The sequence below is a fragment of the Homo sapiens genome, chromosome 11 (assembly GCF_000001405.40).
Source record: "Homo sapiens chromosome 11, GRCh38.p14 Primary Assembly".
Lineage (NCBI taxonomy): Eukaryota > Metazoa > Chordata > Mammalia > Primates > Hominidae > Homo > Homo sapiens.
The window spans coordinates 35,776,299-35,796,337 of NC_000011.10; the positions used below are offsets into that span (position 1 = coordinate 35,776,299).

The 20,039-nt window shown below is 42.0% G+C and overlaps 1 protein-coding gene across 2 annotated transcripts in view; it reads left to right on the top strand.

The window, feature by feature from the left end:
- TRIM44 (tripartite motif containing 44) overlaps positions 1–20,039 on the top strand; it is a 155,233-nt gene that overhangs the window by 113,524 nt on the left and 21,670 nt on the right. The window lies entirely within an intron of this gene.

A 20,039-nucleotide genomic window follows, 5' to 3' on the forward strand; every position in this document is an offset into this window, starting at 1 on the left:
GGTGATATCCTCTTCATCATTTTTTATTGTGTCTATTTGATTCTTCTGTTTTCTTCTGTATTAGTCTTTCTAGCGGTCTATCAATTTTGTTGATGTTTTCAAAAAACCAGCTCCTGGATTCATTGATTTTTTTGAAGGGTTTTTTGTGTCTCTATCTCCTTCAGTTCTGTTCTGATCTTAGTTATTTCTTGCCTTCTGCTAGCTTTTGAATGTGCTTGCTCTTGCTTCTTTACTTCTTTTAATTGTGATGTTAGGGTGTCAATTTTAGATCTTTCCTGCTTTCTCTTGTGGGCATTTAGTGCTATAAATTTCCCTCTACACACTGCTTTAAATGTGTCCCAGAGATTCTGGTATGTTGTGTCTTTGTTCTCATTGGTTTCAAAGAACAGCTTTCTGCCTTCATTTCGTTGTGCACCCAGTAGTCATTCAGGAGCAGGTTGTTCAGTTTCCATATAGTTGAGTGGTTTTGAGTGAGTTTCTTAATCCTGAGTTCTAGTTTGATTGCACTGTGGTCTGAGAGACAGTTTGTTACAATTTCTGTTCTTTTACATTTGCTGAGGAATGCTTTACTTCCACCTATGTGGTCAATTTTGGAATAAGTGCGATGTGGTGCTGAGAAGAATGTATATTCTGTTGATTTGGGGTGGAGAGTTCTGTAGATATCTATTAGGTCTGCTTGGTGCAGAGCTGAGTTCAAGTCCTGGATATCCTTGTTAACCTTCTGTCTCGTTGATCTGTCTAATGTTGACAGTGGGGTGTTAAAGTCTCCCATTATTATTGTGAGGGAGTCTAAGTCTCTTTGTAGGTCTCTAAGGACTTGCTTTATGAATCTGGGTGCTCCTGTATTGGGTGCATATATATTTGGGATAGTTAGCTCTTCTTGTTGAATTGATCCCTTTACCATTATGTAGTGGCCTTCTTTGTCTCTTTTGATCTTTGTTGGTTTAAAGTCTGTTTTATCAGAGACTAGGATTGCAACCCCTGCTTTTTTTTGTTTTCCGTTTGCTTAGTAGATCTTCCTCCATCCCTTTATTTTGAGCCTATGTGTGTCTCTGCATGTGAGATGGGTCTCCTGAATACAGCACACTGATGGGTCTTGACTCTATCCAGTTTGCCAGTCTGTGTCTTTTAATTGGAACATTTAGCCCATTTACATTTAAGGTTAATATTGTTATGTGTGAATTTGATCCTGTCATTATGATGTTAGCTGGTTATTTTGCTCGTTAGTTGATGCATTTCTTCCTAGCATCGATGGTCTTTACAATTTGGCATGTTTTTGCAGTGGCTGGTACCATAGGTTGTTCCTTTCCATGTTTAATGCTTCCTTCAGGAGCTCTTGTAAGGCAGGCCTGGTGGTGACAAAATCTCTCAGCATTTGCTTCTCTGTAAAGGATTTTATTTCTCCTTCACTTATGAAGCTTAGTTTGGCTGGATATGAAATTCTGGGTTGAAAATTCTTTTCTTTTAGAATTTTGAATATTGGCCCCCACTCTCTTCTGGCTTGTAGGGTTTCTGCCCAGAGATCCACTGTTAGTCTGATGGGCTTCCCTTTGTGGGTAACCCGACCTTTCTCTCTGGCTGCCCTTAACATTTTTTCCTTCATTTCAGCTTTGGTGAGTCTGACAATTATGTGTCTTGGAGTTGCTGTTCTCAAGGAGTATCTTTGTGGCATTCTCTGTATTTCCTGAGTTTGAATGTTGGCCTGCCTTGCTAGGCTGGGGAAGTTCTCCTGGATAAAATCCTGAAGAGTGTTTTCCAACTTGGTTCCATTCTCCCCATCACTTTGAGGTACACCAATCAGATGTAGATTTGGTCTTTTCACATAGTCCCATATTTCTTGGAGGCTTTGTTCGTTTCTTTTTACTCTTTTTTCTCTAAACTTCTCTTCTGGCTTCATTTCATTCATTTCATCCTCGATCACTGATACCCTTTCTTCCACTTGATCAAATCAGCTACTGAACCTGGTGCATTTGTCACGTAGTTTTCGTGCCGTGGTTTTCAGCTCCATCAGGTCATTTAAGGTGTTCTCTACACTATTTATTCAGTTAGTCATTCATCTAACCTTGTTTCAAGGTTTTTAGCTTCTTTGCGATGGGTTCAAACATCCTCCTTTAGCTCAGAGAAGTTTGTTATTACCAATCGTCTGAAGCCTTCTTCTCTCAAGTCGTCAAAGTCATTCTCCATCCAGCTTTGTTCTGTTGCTGGCAAGTAGCTGCGTTCCTTTAGAGGAGAAGAGGTGCTCTAATTTTTAGAATTTTTCGATTTTCTGCTCTGGTTTCTCCCCATCTTTGTGGTTTTATCTACCTGTAGTCTTTGATGATGGTGACGTACAGATGGGGTTTTGTTGTGGATGTCCTTTCTGTTTGTTAGTTCTCCTTCTAACAGTCAGGACCCTCAGCTGCAGGTCTGTTGGAATTTGCTGGAGGTCCACTCCAGTCCCTGTTTGCCTGGGTATCACCAGTGGAGGCTGCAGAATGGCAAATGTTGCTGCCTGATCCTTCCTTTGGAAGCTTCATCTCAGAGGGGCACCTGGCTGTATGAGGTGTCGGTCAGCCCCCTATTGGGAGTTCTCTACCAGTTAGGCTGCTCAGGGGTCAGAGACCCACTTGAGGAGGCAGTCTGTCCATTCTCAGATCTCAAACGCCGTTGTGGGAGAACCACTACTCTCTTCAAAGCTGTCAGACAGGGACACTTAAGTCTGCTTGTTTCTGCTGCCTTTTGTTCAGCTATGCCCTGCCCCCAGAGGTGGAGTCTACAGAGGCAGGCAGGCCTCCTTGAGCTGCAGTGGGCTCTACCCAGTTCGAGCTTCCCAGCTGCTTTGTTTGCCACTCAAGCCTCAGCAAGTGGATGCCCTCCCCCAGCCTTGCTGCCACCTTGCAATTCGATCTCTGACTGCTGTGCTTGCTAGCAGTGAGCGAGGCTCTGTGGGCATGGGACCCTCTGAGCCAGGCACGGGATATTATCTCCTGGTGTGCCATTTGCTAAGACCGTTGGAAAAGCGCAGTATTAGGGTGCAAGTGTCCCGATTTTCCAGGTACCATCTGTCATGTCTTCCCTTGGCTAGGAAAGGGAATTCCCTGACCCCTTGTGCTCCCTGGGTGAGGCAATGCCCCACCCTGCTTCAGCTCACACTCCGTGAGCTGCACCCACTGTCCGACAAGCCCCAGTGAGATGAACCTGGTACCTCAGTTGGAAATGCAGAAATCACCCGTCTTCTATTGCTCACGCTGGGAGCTGTAGACTGGAGCTGTTCCTATTCAGCCATCCCCTCCTCTCCCATCTTATCTGTCCAAAAGCTCTTTAGTTTAATTATTAATAGATCCCACTTCTCATTCTTGTTGCAATTGCTTTTGAGGGCTTAGTCATTAATTCTTTGCCAAGACCGATGTCCAGGATGGTGTTTCCTAGGCATTTTTCTAGGAGTCTTAGAGTTTGGGGTCTTGTGTTTAAATCTTTAATCTGAGTTTTTTTTTGTATATGGTAAAAGGTAGGTATCCAATTTCATTCTTCTGTATATGGCTAGTGAGCTATCCCAACACCATTTATTGAATAGGGAGATCTTTCCCCTTTGCCTATTTTTTTTTTTTTTTTTACTTTGTCAAAGATCAGATGGCTATAGGTGTGCAGCTTTATTTCTGGGTTCTCTATTCTGTTCCATTGATCGGTATGTCTGTTTCAGTATCATTACCATACTGTTTTGGTTACTATAGCCTTATAGTATAGTTTGAAGTCAGGTAATATGATGCCTCCAGCTTTGTTCTTTTTGCTTAGGATTGCTTTAGCTATCTGGGCTCCTTTTTGGTTATATACTAATTTTAGAATAGTTTTTTTTTAAATTCTGAGGACCACAGATTATTTTTGATGGCTTTGAATACCTTGCAGGATGAGACCAGAGGAAGTACATGTGGCAGAATCAGCACCCAGAGTTATTTAAAATAGATTTATAAGCCTACCTCTGTGGGATAACATCAGCCCCAGTTTAATATAAGTTGATGTAAGGTTAAGAAGAGAAGAATAAATCTCTAATGTCCTTGCAAGGTAGACTCATGCTTAGTGTTTTGAGAATGTACTCAGGACTTCAGAATTGGCTGTAGGCTAGACTCCCTTATACAGCAGCTTGAGATTATCTCCCTGAAGAATTTTAACAGTTGCTAAGGTGACTGCTAGAAGCATTGGCCACTTTCTTAGGGATTCTACATTGCTTTTTAGAGCCTTAAGGACAGGCAGAGGGGAACTAACAGATATTGTATGCTATCACGGTCTCATTTAATTGTAACACTGATCCTCTGAGAAAATTCACTAAACAGATGACAAACCGAATCTCAGAGAGATAAAGGAATATGTGCCAATATTCATACATGTTGTAAGTGGCAAGATCAGGACTCTTTCTACAATTCCACATAGCATCTCAAAGCCATCCCCATCACCCCTACACATATTAAATACATAGTACCCATCAGCCCCACCCCCACCCTCAGTCTGAAAAGGAAACTTAAGGCAATCAAAATGGATCGACTCAGTGAACACATGCTGCCTTCTTTCTTTTTATTCATTTTCAACTCTATTTATTAAGCACCTACATTATGCCAGGCACAGCTCTTGGTGCTGAGGATACAGGGTGAACAAATCAGATGAGATCCCTTCTGTGGTGGAATTTAACTCTAGTGGGAAGAGCTAGACAAAAAAACTAATAAACCACTAAATGAAGAAAATAATTTTTGATAGTCATGTGAGAAAGCAAGTGAAACAGTGATTTGGTAGAAAGGGACTGGGGAGAAGAAGCTACTATAGCTACAATGTGGAAAGTGTTCAAAGGGCCAAGGAGGTCACTTTTGAGCTGAAACCTGACAGAACAAAGGAGCCATCCAAGCAAAAATGAACATGGGGAATGTTATAGGCAAAGGAGCAGGGAGTTCAGACCCCATCAGACCACTTCACGTTTTAGCCTTTTTTTTTAATGTAATGTGCATAACAGTGAAGCATGTTTCTGATTTATAATCTGAATGATATGGTATTATTCGGCATTATTATTTTTCTAGGTATTTTGGCAGCGGGGCTAGTAATCTTACTTCAAGAAGGCTGTGATCTGCACAAGTCCCAGAGACAAGCTGGCTTTGTAGGAGGAGAGAGAACATGCGAGTTTACATTTGTTTGCTGAGAGAACCACATACTTTAGGCTCAGCCTGAGGAGCGACTCACTGTATTCAGGGATGGTCAGGATCCAGATATGCCAGAGTCAGTGGGAAGCCTCCAGATCCCTAGTCACACAGATAGAACTTAGGCACCTCGGAAGCAAGCTGCTGGATTATGTGAACATTTGTTTTAGTGCCAAATGGGACTTTTCCCAAGATGTCTTTGGTTATCATGAAGAGTAAATTCTAAAACAAGGAAGGAAATAAAGTTATTTTTGTGTAGATAAGAATAGACTAAATATGTGGCATAGAATAATTGAGAGAGCCAGGAGTAGGAGAATGTTATGACCTCGAACATGGATCAAGTGGAATAACTTTTAAAATGATAAAAGTCACTGCCTAGACCTATGCTTTTCCAACCTAGAACCTCTGAAAGCAGTAACGGGAACTAGAAAGCTGTTTGTAGTGTTTTAAAGATAAAAGTGAATGATAAGGCCACATAGGCTATCCTTTACTTCATGCCCTTTCAGATCATTCTTTCATCTTTCAGTATTTCAACAAATCGTTAATGAGTTATCTACTGTGTACCAGGTGCCATGCCAAGTGCTAAGAAATTGTATAAATGGCTCAAGTAAGGATCCTTGCTGTTGATACATTTTAACCATCTAATGTGGCAAAGAGACAAGTAAATGGATAATTTTAAAACAATATTACATGTACTGATAGAGGGGTTTATGGAGTACTTTGTGAAGTCCAGCGGGTGGGGGGAATCCTAATCCAGCTGGGGTAGGATCTTGGAAAACTTCCTAGAGGAGACATTGCTAAATCTCAGTCTTAAAGGACATATATAAATTAGCCAGTTGGATCCAAGGGAATGAAATTCTTGGCAGAGGAAAGATCCTATACTTATGTATAGGGCTTTTAATTCTCCAGAGTACTTACTCATTGTATTAGTTAGAATTGTGTTCTGTTTTGAGGAACAGAAAACTCTGGTATCAGTAGAATAAGTAAATAAAGGTATGTTTGTTTCACAGAATAAATTTGGAGATGAGTGACATCTGGCTTTGGTTTAGTGGCTAATGATGTCAGGACTGCCATGTGTCTCTGAGATTCCCTGGACATTTCCTTCATGCTTGTTGCCTTATGATTGAAAAAGAGCTGCAGCTTTGGGTATTATACCCATGTTCAATCATGAGGGAGGGGTCAGAAGAAGCACCATGTCTCTATTAATCAGGAAAGTAAACACTTTCCCAAGGAGCACCCCACCACCACCACCAAACCAGAAGACTTATCCTTCTGTGTCATATGCTCAAGTAAAGCTACATGCCACTCCTAACTGCAGTGTAGGCTAGATACACAAATACTTAACTCTTCTCCGGAGTAGAAGTTAGCAAGGAGAGTGAGTTGGGAATGCCTAAGTCAGCCAATCAGTAGTATCTGCCAAATATATAATTTCATTTGCCTCCTTATAATAAGTTTGTGAGGTAGAAAGAGTGGGTGTTATTAGCTCCACTTTACAGAAGAAGGAACATTTGGAGAGCCAGGTGATACCTAAAATCACAAAGCTGAACATTTATTCACTGATAACAAAAACAAAAGCTCATATTGGTTGTAGGTATGCTTGTTACACACCAGACTCTATGCTAAGTGCTTTACATATGTTCTCTCATTTCCTTCCCATGCAGTCCTGTAAGGTAGGCTGTCCTCATTTTATAGAGGTATCTGAGTAACACATCTGAGGTATAAGGAGATATTGACATAAGTTCCCCAGGATCACAAAGCTAGTATATAGCAGAGCCCTCAGGATTCAAACTTCATTTCTCCAGAATGTCAGCCTGATGCTCTTCTTGCCTCACCTCCCTTTGATTTAAATGATCAAAATGTTCTCCCTGTAGATCCAGCGAATGTACCACCTCACTGATGTTGCCCAGAGCCCTTGAAGCCACTCTATACCCCTGTTACTTCTTTTAATTTATGTGACCCACTCCTGTTTCTTCATTATTGCTTTTATGGACATAGAATCCAGCAACACATTATTTCAAATGTGCTGCCATTATGAATACATTTTCTTTCATTGTAATAGCACCAACCATAATGAATACATTTTGTATCCATGCAGATGTCACTGGTATTTTCAGTGCTTCATTCTAATTTATGCTGGAAAATGAATACTTAAAGTATTGCCCAGGCTCCCATTACTCCAGAGGAAATTAGGGACGCCTTGTGTGTGTGCATATGTTTTTGTGTTCATGTAGCAGATAGAATGTTTTGGTCAGAATGAATTGTGTGCGTGAAATGAGAGCCTAGCCCCTTCCTGGAAGGGCACTTTGGAGGTAATTCACTATGCCTATCAGTGAACCTGTGCAAGCAGGTTTCTTTGTGAGTGGGTGTTTGGGGCACAAATTATAGTCAGATTTTGTTAGAAGTGAAAGAGGGAAAGCCCTACTGATTGAGGGATACACGTTTTGGGGTGCCCCAAGGTCTTCTGGCCATCTTATATACAGCCAGCAAAGGTTGCAGATGTACTTGGTGGCAGCAGTCACCCCATCTATCAGCCTCACACTGACGTGGCCTTCAATGTTGAGGGTGAACAGTGAGACAGAGGCCTACTGGGGAGCAGAATGTGCTAGGCTTGTGGTTAATTATGTGAACTCACCTTTATGGCAAGTGTTGGTTCATGACGTAGAAGATAATAGTCAAAGACTCTGAAACTATGGATAAGGGCAGGAGTACTCAGCTATCCAAGAAATGACCTCTCTTATGTTTGAAACAATATGTAGGCCAGAATGCTCCAGACATTCAGCCTGTCTGTAGGGGATTCTCGAAGTGATATACTTTCAGATACATCTGTGCCAAAAATACTATTTCTGAGGCTTGAGATCTGAGCAGCTAAAGGGTAAGATAACTTGTAAGATCCATTATTACGAATTTTTATTCAAGGGTTCTGTGTATTAAAAGAAGGAGAAGTGGTGGTTTTACAGAATATAAGAGTATTCTAAGTTTCTTTAAAATACTACATTTTTATACCATACCTATTTAAATCTTTTAAATATTCAGAAGTTGCCTCTTAATAAAAATTGTCTACTTCTTTTAGGATTACTGACTCCATAATTTCAAGGCAAATCAAAGAAGGAATAGTGATTGCAAACTGAATTTAGAATGGGTGTGTATTTATGTATGTATATATGTATATGTATGTGTGTATACACACATATACAACATGCATATATAGATTAAGGGGTTTGGAAATGTTTATTTTGCCTCTAACACAAAAGGGCAAGAACCATTCTAAAACTTGGCTTGGGGAGAAGCAAAATTTCTCTCTATATCTTTAAGTGATCTTAAATTTTGCCAGGTTTTTATTGCTGAAAATCTAGGAACAAAAAACTAGGTTGTAGAATTTCAGTATCTTTTATTTTCTGTTTCATAATGAGTACTTTTCCCTCTTGCAGTCTCTCAAGCCTTAATTTTTACATGGTGCATCACCTGACTCTTATGTCAATACCTGAAAGACAGATTTGAAAGAACTAGTTATCTCAAATCTATCTAGAAATAGAGCCTAGATAAGACCAGTGCAATAACCTTAAAGAAGGTATTGTTCTTTGCTTCTTTCACCCCAAAAAGCTACAAATACTTGTCCTGTACTGACTGAAATGTTTACTATTTTACAGGAAATTCTATAGAACCAAGTATACTGCTTGAGGGGATTAATTAAAACACAAATGAATTTAGCTCTGAATTGAATCTGACTTCCATATTCTCCATTTTTGCAGATTCAAATAGCAGTAATGTTTGCTGTATCACCTAAAAGAAAACAGCAAGCGGCAAAAACCTTCAGAGCTCTGCTTGTCTGAGGAGATGGCCCCACTGTTGACCATTTCCTCAGGGGTGGTGATTCAAAGCACATTTTATATTTGCCCTGGGGCAAGAATAGCCTTGCTTCAACCTAGAAGCCTTTTTGAAAGGGGTGCAGAAAGAAGAATGGATAGAAGGTGCCTTCTGCAGCGTTGCCTTCAGGTTTCTGTGGACAGAGCACAAAAGACAGATGCAGTTTACCATCAGAGCAGCTTTGAGTCAGAATTGTAGGAGGCTAAAACCTGAGAAGAACCTCTGGGTCTCTGCACCCCTATTCGGGTAAGAGTTCAGTCTTTATGGTGGACAGCAGGAGTGGCAACACAGTATCAGCCTGATTCTCCTTCAGTTTGCTACTTTCAGCTCAGTTAAGCTGGCAGGCAAGCCTGGGAACCAGCCTGAATCCCTCCCTAGGAGCTGCCCATCTTAAGAGAGTTCCTCTAGCAAATGTGCCTTCAGGGGCCTATATAACTGAAGCAAAGCCATTTGCATCAATTCATCCTACACATGTCTTTTGCCTCCTAAAACGTTCAAGGTTCCCTGCCATATGCATATACTGGATAGTAAAGGTTTCTAGTCTCTCAATTGCTGTGCTTATAAGTCTGCTCTAAGATGATTGAAACCCATGAGAGAGAACCAGCCCCAAAGAGAATGTGGCACTTTATTTCCTTAACCTGAGTCATCTGTGCTTTCACTGCCATTCTTTTGTTGTGGTTGTTTTTAGCCATGAAACGAACTCAAGATTTTTTAAAAATGTTTTCAACCATAAATAGCTCCTACTGAATGAGAATAAGTTAATACCAAACTTAGGTATTTTCCAAAACTTTTAATTTGAAATAAAACAAGTTACAACTATTATTTATAAAATATTACCCTTGTGCCCATTGTAATATTAAGAACTTTAAAAAGGGTTTCTCTTTAGTCTTTAGTAGCATTCACATCTACTCTATTACATAGGTCTTACTGGATGCATTTTACAAATGAGAAAACTAAAACTCAGGAAAATGACTTTCCCAAAGTTACATCATCTGCTTATCTCAGTTCCCAGTCCTTTCCTTTTAGATGGTTATTGACAACTAGAAGACTGAAGAAAGATTCCATCAAAGACTCCATTGGCTCACTTAAGATAAATAGGTTGACTCTTCTTTTAACCAGGTGGACAGGAAAAGCCACCACACAATGCACACCACTTACACTACTACCACCTCATTAACCCAGGAGTAACAGCTACTGAGGCCTGGCAAGATTCACAGTCCCACCCAGCCTTCTTTTTAGTGGGAAGAACATGAGTTTTGCAGCCAGTCACTCCTGAGATCCAAATGTGGTCAAGTCACTGACCCCTCTGAACCTCATTTTCCACATCTGTAAAACAGAGAATCATAATGCCTTCTTCACAGAGATGCAGCCCTAATTGGACAAGAGATTATAATGATACCTATTATAATGCATACTCATTGAATAAATTTTTTAAAAAACACAGTAATTTTCTCGGTGTTAGCGAAAGGTTTCCCAGGCACCATGAAGTGTTTTGGCTGCAGCAGGAGAGTGGTTGGCAGATACAGTGTTCTTCAGTTTCCATTTTTCAGGCTCATCCTTTAGAACCAACTTTGCTTTTTATGTCATGTTTTTCCCTCCAAGGTAGGAGGTGGGCTGACGCTTTCCCTTCTGCCCTCCCCATCCTATAGCTCTCTGTAAGTATTCTTTCGCCTCCCTTTTGTGATTTCCTTAAGTGCTTTTAATGGTTGCTTGACACTAGAAAGATATTCCCAGCAGGCACTCAGTTTGTAATCACTGCTTGTTGCTTGATGTGAACTTGTGGCTGACCTCTGGGAAAGCGGTGTGGGCGGGCATGGGGACGAGAGGAGGGAGCAAGGCTCTGCTCCAGCAAAGCGAGATGGTGCATCCCTGAGCAGCTGGCTGGCAACTGAAGGGGTGGCTCTGAAGATTGCTGTCACGCCTCCTTGCCACCTTGGGTCAGCCAGCGTGTCTGGAAGTATAATCAGTAGTGGGTTATGGTATGGTTAAACAACCATATTCTTAAACACCAGCAAAGCACAAAAGAAAAACAGGATGATAGAGCAGCTACAGTACATTTCCACAGTGTCTCTGTTATTACCACAAGGCGAATGGAATGCCCTGAGGAGCAGCATGCATACAGCTGGAACTAATCATCCCTTATTCCACAGCCTGTGACCTGGGGGCCTAGAATGTCCCCCACTTTTTTTTTAATCCTGTAATTCTGACTGTCTTCACCAAGGAGGTGATTGAGGTATTGCAAATGGAAGAAAAATACAAATTCTTTGTATCTTCCTTTTACAAATCTTCTTAGACACATGGCTGCTAATCAGGGCTGTAAGTGATTAATCTGGATACTTGCCTTCAAGCAGCAGTTCCCTGTCTAGAGGAGGAAAAGCCAAGTGTCTGTACCCAGTTAGTATCACAAGAGACACCTGTGGTAGTGAGTGTCAATGTCAGGGAAATGGATTTCATGTTAAATGCCTTGTGCCCAATCTTTTGTGACCCGCCTGAACCTTATGGGCATATCCCCAAACCACACTGTGAGCTAGGACTTCATAATGAGGCATTCAGTGTCTACCACTGTTCACAGCCTCACTTCCTAGCCTTTGTAATGAATTACCCTGTTTATGGACATGGCTCACTTTCCAGGCTGCCACTCCCCCCTTCCTCACCAGCTTTGATGCCAGCCTATGGCAGTTGTTCATGCTTATTCCCTTGATTAGGCTACTTCTAACTCACCTGGTCTTACCAGCCCTTGGGATCCTGCATTTCTACTGCTCCCCCATGAACAGTAGAGCCACCAAGTTCCCCTTGGTCCTACAAGCAGGACCCCAAATTCTCTGAGCCGGAGGGTGGATGATGAGTAGTCTCTGTAGGATGGAGTGGTCAGCACAGACTTCATGGAAGACGTAGACTTAGGCTGCTTATGATTTGGGTGGGGAAAGAGAAAGGATATGGCTATTCTACCCTGGAGCAAAAGAGATCTTTGTTATGACTTGTTAACAGCCATTTAAACCATGATTGTGAAGGAGGAGTTTAGAACTGGAGCTGCCACAGAGATTCAAGGATTATCTGTGGATTTTGGTGTTGTACTGTTCTTTACCAAAGGGAGGGGTAGGGGACATAAGGGGTTGTTGGAACAAAAGAAAGAAAATAAAGCCTCTAGTATGGCGTTATATCAGATTCATGGAGTCCTTCTATTCTCTTCCTCCAGACAATTTTTATATTCCTGTGTTGGGCCTCATTTGAGAGTCTGGTTTTGGCCTCTAACAAGAATGCCCCTTGCAGCCATGTTGTGACCATTCATGCCAATTAAAATGAATAAGAACTAAGTGATCGTCTTGCCTTTCACACAAACCAGTGGTTCTCAGCGTTGGTTGCTGGACCCCTACAGTTAATGGCTCTATTTCCAAAGCCTGGTCTTTCCATCCTCTTCAGTGGGCAAAAAGAGGCATGTGATTAGCCACCAGAGGCCTTAGTCCCACCAGGGCTCTGAGCTGTATCAGAAATCAGACTAAGGAGAGGTGGCTGGAGAAGCAGTTTGGGAAGGACATAAGCTTTCTCTTTACAGCTGAACATAAACTAAGTTGTTCCACAGGCTTTGCTTAAACTTTTACAGACAGAATTATCACTCTTCTTTTTAACTCCTTTTTTCTTTCTTGTGTATATTTCAGCCTGAGGCCCTAAAAATAGTTTTTTTATAGAGGAGTATCTTTATTGTCTCACAGCAAATATTTTTTAATTTGAAAACAACTCTCAAAAGAATTCTCTCATCTTTTCCCCAAAGTGGTTGACTGAAAAATATTTATTTTATTGTCATTCCCCTCCTCCTACCTGTCTCTGCTGGGCTGAGTGAAGATTGCAGTGGAATGTTTTAAGTAGTGAGTGGGTGAGTGGCTAGGGAAAGTAAAAGACCTATGCACCTCATGCTAACTTCTCATGTTAGGGTAGAAGAGCCATCTGATATATTTATTGTTCTATATTAAACTTGAGTCTGATTGGGACTGAGAATGTGAGAGCCTTAGAAATCATCTAATCCAAGGAGGAAGAAGGGGACACAGCAATATGTCATGAAAGTTTAGTATGTGTAGGGTAGTGCTTCATACAGCGTTTAATGAGAAAAGTGATCACTTAATAGTTTACCATGTGCTATATGTTTTTACATTCATTAAGCACCTGGGAATCATTGATCCTCTTTCACAAGTGAGGAAACTGGGACCCAGTGGAATAAGTTTTGCCCAGAGGGTACTCAGTTAATAAGTAGAAGAACTGGATTCAGCCTTGATTTCTCTGGCTGTGCACTCCTGCTCCTCTTAGCCTAAAAGGCAAGGTTGAGAGTTCTGACAGCAGGGAACCTTGTCATCCAAATTACTGACAGTTGCCCCTCAGTTAAGCCGTCTTAGAGGGCGACCGGGCCTTACTCAGTTCTAAGAGGCATATTCCCCTGGTGCTCCTTAGGGTATTTACACTGTTCCTTCTGCCTGGGCCCTGCAATTGGGCCAATGGTGAGCAAGTGCTTTCCAGGTATCGTAAATACATCTTATGACACTTGATTTCTATTGAAATCAATCGTAAATACGATAGATTTCTATTGAAATCTATCGTGAATACATCTTATGACACTTGATTTCTAAGCCATAAACAGGTTCTTCTTCATATAGATGAAACAGGTTTGAAGTTGTAGAATTATGTCATTTGGGTGCCACAGAAGAGCCGGCTTCTGGAAAAACTGGGAGGAGGGCAAAATGTGTCTTTAATAATCCTTATTTGCTTCTTTCAGTGCCCGGTACTTATGCCCTAGTCCTGACCCTTTAAAGATTATCATTTCTCTTCCCCCCAGCAAAATTTAACCTCATCGTAAGATGACAGCTGGCTCATCCAGAAACTCTTCTGCACTCAAGTGGTTTATGGTGTGGTCCCATGGCATACTCTTGTCTTGTAATACATACTGATTTTTAACTAGGGGCTGAACTGTAAGGAACCTTCTAAGTGCAACACCTTAGACTACAGGAACAATTTTAATAGGGACTTTAGGCTTAATGGCTTATGGGAGATCTTTTGAAAGTGGCAAAGGCCTTGCTGTTTTTCACATGCTCTCATGTTTGGCATCTGTTACCTCCTCCAGTACATAGAGCAGTCCTTTGAATTCAAAGCACTGGACTTTGTTCAATCTTGAGATTGGGTAGTGACATATAAAGGATGGAAAGCTGCAGTCTTCAGTTCCTCTCTTGTCTCTGCTTCAGCTCTATTTGATGTTTTTATGTGTTTTGGGTCATCTAATGGTGACCAGACTAGTGCTGTCTCTCATCTGACAGCACTGAACTGCAGTACAAGGAGAGCCTCTGGTAAGATTGGCTGAAAGTAAATTGATGTGGTGTTCATCTCTTTGCTGTCTACATCAAGCAACCCTCCTCCCAGGAGGGGCAGATTTCATATAGTTCAGACCTGTTGACTGTATCATGAGCTTTTGGAATATTGAGGTTGGAATGCAGGTGGGGATAGCTTTCTTACCTTCTTTTCCGTTTCCTAGGGAAACTCATAACAAGAACACTTACTAAAAGGGCAGGGGTAGAACTGGGTAGTAGTAAACAGGGAAGGAACAAGGCAGTAGGAGAACAGGGACCCTCTATTCCCTTTCATAAACGTCCACTTCTCAGTTATACTCATCTGAGAAGACATGCTGGCAGAGATGCTTGAGTTATTAACTAGGCATAAGACACCTCATAGTTTCTTGTTTTTTCCATTTCAGAGCCCTCCCACTGTCCCTGGCCCAGACTTTAGACTCCTGGACAAGTGAGTCTGGCTTTGACAAAGAGGGAGCCCTAGCCTCTGCTTGGGAGCAAGTGTCCATTTGCTCCAGACCCCCAGCATCATGACATTGGCACCTGTAATACTCTTCCAAGCTGAGTTGTAGATCTGTGCTGACGATGTAATCACATTTGAGCATCCTAATGCCTGCTGGCCCCCATGTAGGCTTTATATTGAGTTACCACTGGGTGTTTGTTTTTCTTTTTTTCCTGAAACATCTGCTTGTGCTGCCTCAGGGAGTGTCACACAGAACACAGCCTGTATATTTTAAGCATAGCCCTTGTTCACATTTTGAAGTGCTGGCAATGTGGTAGATGCCATATGGAGCCCTGACACCCTTCTCACCTCCTGTTCTTTCCCATCTACACCCCCCGCCCTGACATTTTCTTAGGAGACACTTCAAGCATGACCCATAAAGATAAGCATTAGGAGCTGCTGATGAGACACGTTCTCTCACTGGACCATCGCACATTTTATCTCAGCCATTCTGAACTTTTCACAGCTCCTTGAACATGCCAAGCTGTTTCACATCTTCAAGAGTTTGTTCAAGCTGTTCCCTCCACCTGGCATACCCCCCGCTCCTTGCCCCGTTGTCTTCCTAGAAAATACCAATCCATCTGTCAACACTCAGTGATAAAGTCTTCTCTGACTCTGTAGGTGGAATTTAGCACTTCTTCTCTTATGGCTCATAGCTACATTCTTTGCTATACTGTGAGCTCCTGAATGGTAGAGATATCTGATACACCACTGTGTTCCATCACTGGCATGTATTTGGGGCTCAGTCACTGTGAGGTGAAAGAATAGCCACTGACTTCAGGAGGGGAGTGATACAAAAACAGTTGAATTTAGTTGAGTACTCATTAGGCAGCAGGCTGAACACATTATATCCATTATCTCATTTAATATTTGCATCAACTCTTAAGAGGTAGATCTTAATACCATCCCTTCCTGAGGAGTTGCCCCTACACACACACACACACACACACACACACACACACACACACTCTCTCTCATCATTCTCTATTCCAGCATCCTGGTTTATTTTCTTCATATCCACTATCTGAAATTATTTACGTGTTTGTTGTCAACTTACTGGAAATTAAGCTCCATGAAAACAAGGACTTTGTCAGTCGTTTTCACTGCTATTTTACCTATTTGAGTGCCTTATATACTGTGGGTACTCAATAAATACTTGTTCACTGAAAGCACAAATGAAGGAATGACTCCCCATTTCACAGATGAGGAAACTGAGGCCTAGATGTTAAATAGCTTTGCCAAAGTTACACAGCTCAGAGCTGAAGGGCTTGGATGGTAAGTAATCCTGGTCTCATTCCAAAGTGGATGATCCTAACATATTATACTACCTCCTGTAGGAATTCTTCAAGTAGACAGATCTTAGTGCTCGTAGAGAAAGGTATGCTTTCCTGCTGGATGTAGTTTTTACCTTGAAGGTTTACCTTCCCTGCCTCTTATCTCACCAGTGAAATCCCTCCTTCTGGGCCAAAGCAAGTTATGAGAGCTGCCATATGCCAGCTGCCAAATGTCTTCAGTGCCAGGCATGTTGCCAAACTAGGGGTAAAATAGTGAATGAGAAACAAATGCAGCCTCCAAAGAGCTCAAGTGACAAAGACTGACTTTTACAACATAACGGTGCTGAGGTGCACTGAAGCCCTGAACCTCTGGAGGCTGCAAGGATAGAGCAGTGATGTGTCAGACCACCTGCATCACTGGTTCCCTGATGGCACTTAATTCAAATTTCATCCTTTGGTAGGGTCTAGTGAAAATCAGCTCAAACCTTGAAAGATATTTCTATGTAACCTAATTAAATGAGTGAGACCTTGGTGCCTCTCACTGCAGGACAGGCAGGATTGAAAATGAAACCAATATCTGACCCAACGAGATTCTGTCCTAAGTTCAGGGGAACAGGTTTTGGTGGCAGGCCCTTTTACATGACTGTTTGCTGGAGCCCACAAGAACCAAGATGAGAATCTGAGGGAAATGGCCACTTTGCAGCCAGGTTACAACAGGAGAGTCATGACCGGCTGCAGTTATAAAAACTGAAAAAAAAAAAAAGAAATCTAGCTGTGCGGCTTCTTTTTTAAAAAACAAACAACAAATAAAAAGACACTATTGGGGCCAGGCATAATGGCTCACACGTGTAATCCCAGCACTTTGGGAGGCTGGGGCAGCCGGATCACCTGAGGTCAGGAGTTCGAGACCAGCCTGGCCAACATGGTGAAAACCCGTCGCTACTAAAAATACAAAAATTAGCCTGGCATGGTGGTGTGTGCCTGTAATCCCAGCTACTCAGGAGGCTGAGGCAGGAGAGTCGCTTGAACCCAAGAGGCGGAGGTTGCAGTGAGCCAAGATTACGCCACTGCACTCCAGCCTGTGCGACAGAGTGAGACTCTGTCTCAAAAATAAATAAATAAACTAAGAGACTATTGGGATCCCCTGTAACGAGGAGAAAGTTTTCGAGTAATTGGTGCCCAGACTGGAGTTTGAGTCTGCCAAGGCCTTGGAACATCTTTAGCAACAAGGTACCAGTTACCTCCTCTGCTACTAGTAATGAGGCATTACCAATAACCCAGCTGAATAAATGCAGCCAGCTGATGTCACAAGCCCCCTCATGTGCTCCCTTCACTCCTCATTGCCCGGGGCCAAAAACAAGAGCCAGGCCATGGTAGTTTCAGCGCTGCCTAGGATTGTGGGACCTTGGGATGTTACTTCCTTTGTCTACTCTGTATTTTCTTCGTCTGTAAAATGGAGTGTTAATGCTGTTACACAGGGTTATTATGAAAACTGTAAAGATTTGGATGAAGTGATTAATTAGTTCAGTGTCTAGCAAGTAATAACTTCCATTTATTAATTGTAAGTGCTTATAATGTATAATTATCCTCATTTTACAGATATGGAAACTTTAAAGAGGCATCTCACCCAAGGTTGTACTGCTAATGCATGCTGGAATGGGGTCTCAAAACTTAGTTGTGTGCTTTTTCCATGATCAGTCTCAACCACCACAATAACTAACCCAGCTCTCCCACTTCTGGATCCATGCCTCAGCTGACATTTCATCTGAGGGAAAGAGGGGAGCCATGAATTAAGTATCCCCTCACCTCTATCTTGGCCTTGCTGACTTGATATCATCCTCATCTCTCTCCCTTCATAGACTGTTAGGGTAAGAGGTGGATAAAGTATTAGAATCCAAGCCTGCCTTGAGAACAGCTCACAGCTGGGTTGTGGAGAGTTAGAAGTTGGCAAACACACAGCTGTTTTATAGAGAAGCCAGATGAGAACATTTCTTCATGGAGGTGAATTTGTTCTTCAGGTTTCTTTGTTTAGGGAAGGCTGGATATGAGCTTGCTTCTGCTTTGTCACTGTAACAGTATTCCCTGTCCATGGGCCACGCCATCCTTTACTCATACGGCTTCCAGTAAGGCTTACTTGTTTGTAAGAATAATCAGTTTATGATGCAGCATTTTAATTCAGTCTAGAGCTCCAGTGGTTATGTGTGCCTGGTCATTGCAGAGACAATTAGAAAAGAAATGGAGGTTGGATTTACCTGTCAAAGTAAGCTGTTCATGAGATTCCTAGGCAGTGTCTCCATGACCAGCAAGTGGCCCATGGTTTGCCTGGGAAGGTTTCTTGAACAGTCACGCTTTATACGATTGTTTTGATCATTTATTCATTCACTCAAAAACATTTGTTGCAGTTTCACCAGTGCCAAGCACATTACCAGGTACTGGTGATACGGCAGGGAACAAAATAGTTAAAGCCGTTTGCCACCACAAAATAATTTTAGATAGTGATCAGTGCTATGAAGACAATACAGCAATTTAGTGTAATAGTACAGGGATGGGGTGGCTACTCTAGATTTCCTGGTCCAGGACAGCATCTGAAAAGATGATATTGGAGCTGAGACCTGAATGTTAATGAGTCATTCATTCCAAGATGTGAGGGTAAGAGCTTTGAGGCAGACCAGCAAAGCACAAGCCTTAAGGCACAAACAAGATCAGCTTACTTGGGGAACAGAAAGAAAGCCAGCGTGGCTGGAAGGTGGCATGAATCAGGCTGGAAAGGGAGAGAGGGGCCAAAGCATGTAGGAATCTGTGGGCTATGGACTTTATTCTAGGGGTTATAGGAAGCCATTGAAGGATTTTTAAATGGGGTACTGATATAATCTATTGCACATTTTTGAAATATTATTCTGAATACAGTTTGGATAATAGGCAATAGTGCATTAAGATTAGAAGTAGGAAGACTAGTCAAGAAGCAACTCCAATAGTTCAAGCAGGAGATGGTGGCAGCAGTGGAGAAGATGAATGGACACACATGGGAGAGGTTGTGCAGGGTGAGTCAATAGGACATGCTATTGGACTCAGTGGGATAGGGAGATGGTGCTGCTAAGATTTTGAGCACCATGCTTGGCACATAGAATGCATTCTTATTCATGATAGCTGTCACCGTCTTTATTTTTTAAATGGCCTGTACACTAAAAGAACAAACTTGAGAAGGAATCTTTAGCCCATTGGAATGACAGCATGGTGCCTAGAGTGTACAGGTGACAACAGTGTTAACTCTTCCCGTTTTTTTTTAATAGATAGCAGTTTCAGAGGAAATGGGTGTTGCAGGTATGGTGAAATATTCAGGAGCCAGAAACTGACTTCCAGTCGATCTCACTCTACCATCAACTCACTGTATGACTTTTAGTCTCTCTTAGTCTTGGTTTCTTCATATGATGTTATTAAATAACTATAAAATGTTTTGAGCACTTATTGTGTGATAGGTACTATGTCAAGCTCTTTATATATCTGCCAACCACTTCATATACATTAATCTAATTTAATCCTTCCAGCAGCTCTTCTGGTAGGTACTACATTGTCCACTATTTCCAAGTACGAACACCGACCTCAAAATCACACAGCTAGTAAGTGGCAGAGCTGTGATTCAAACCCAGGTGTTTGTGACTCCTAGGTCCATATTCATAACCCGCTGCCATATGAAAAGTAGCACTAGGTCATTATGGGTTGGTATACTTCCAACTTCCTACAACTTCAGTTGAAGGTCATCATCATGGGACTCCCAAAGCTACTGAGAACTGTTTTCTGTGTGTGTGTGCGCGCGCGCACGTGTGTGTATCTGCCTCGCTCGCTCGCTGTCACACACACACTTGTGCATGCACACATACAGCGTGAATCTCTATTCAGACAGAGATTAGAGATAAGTGTC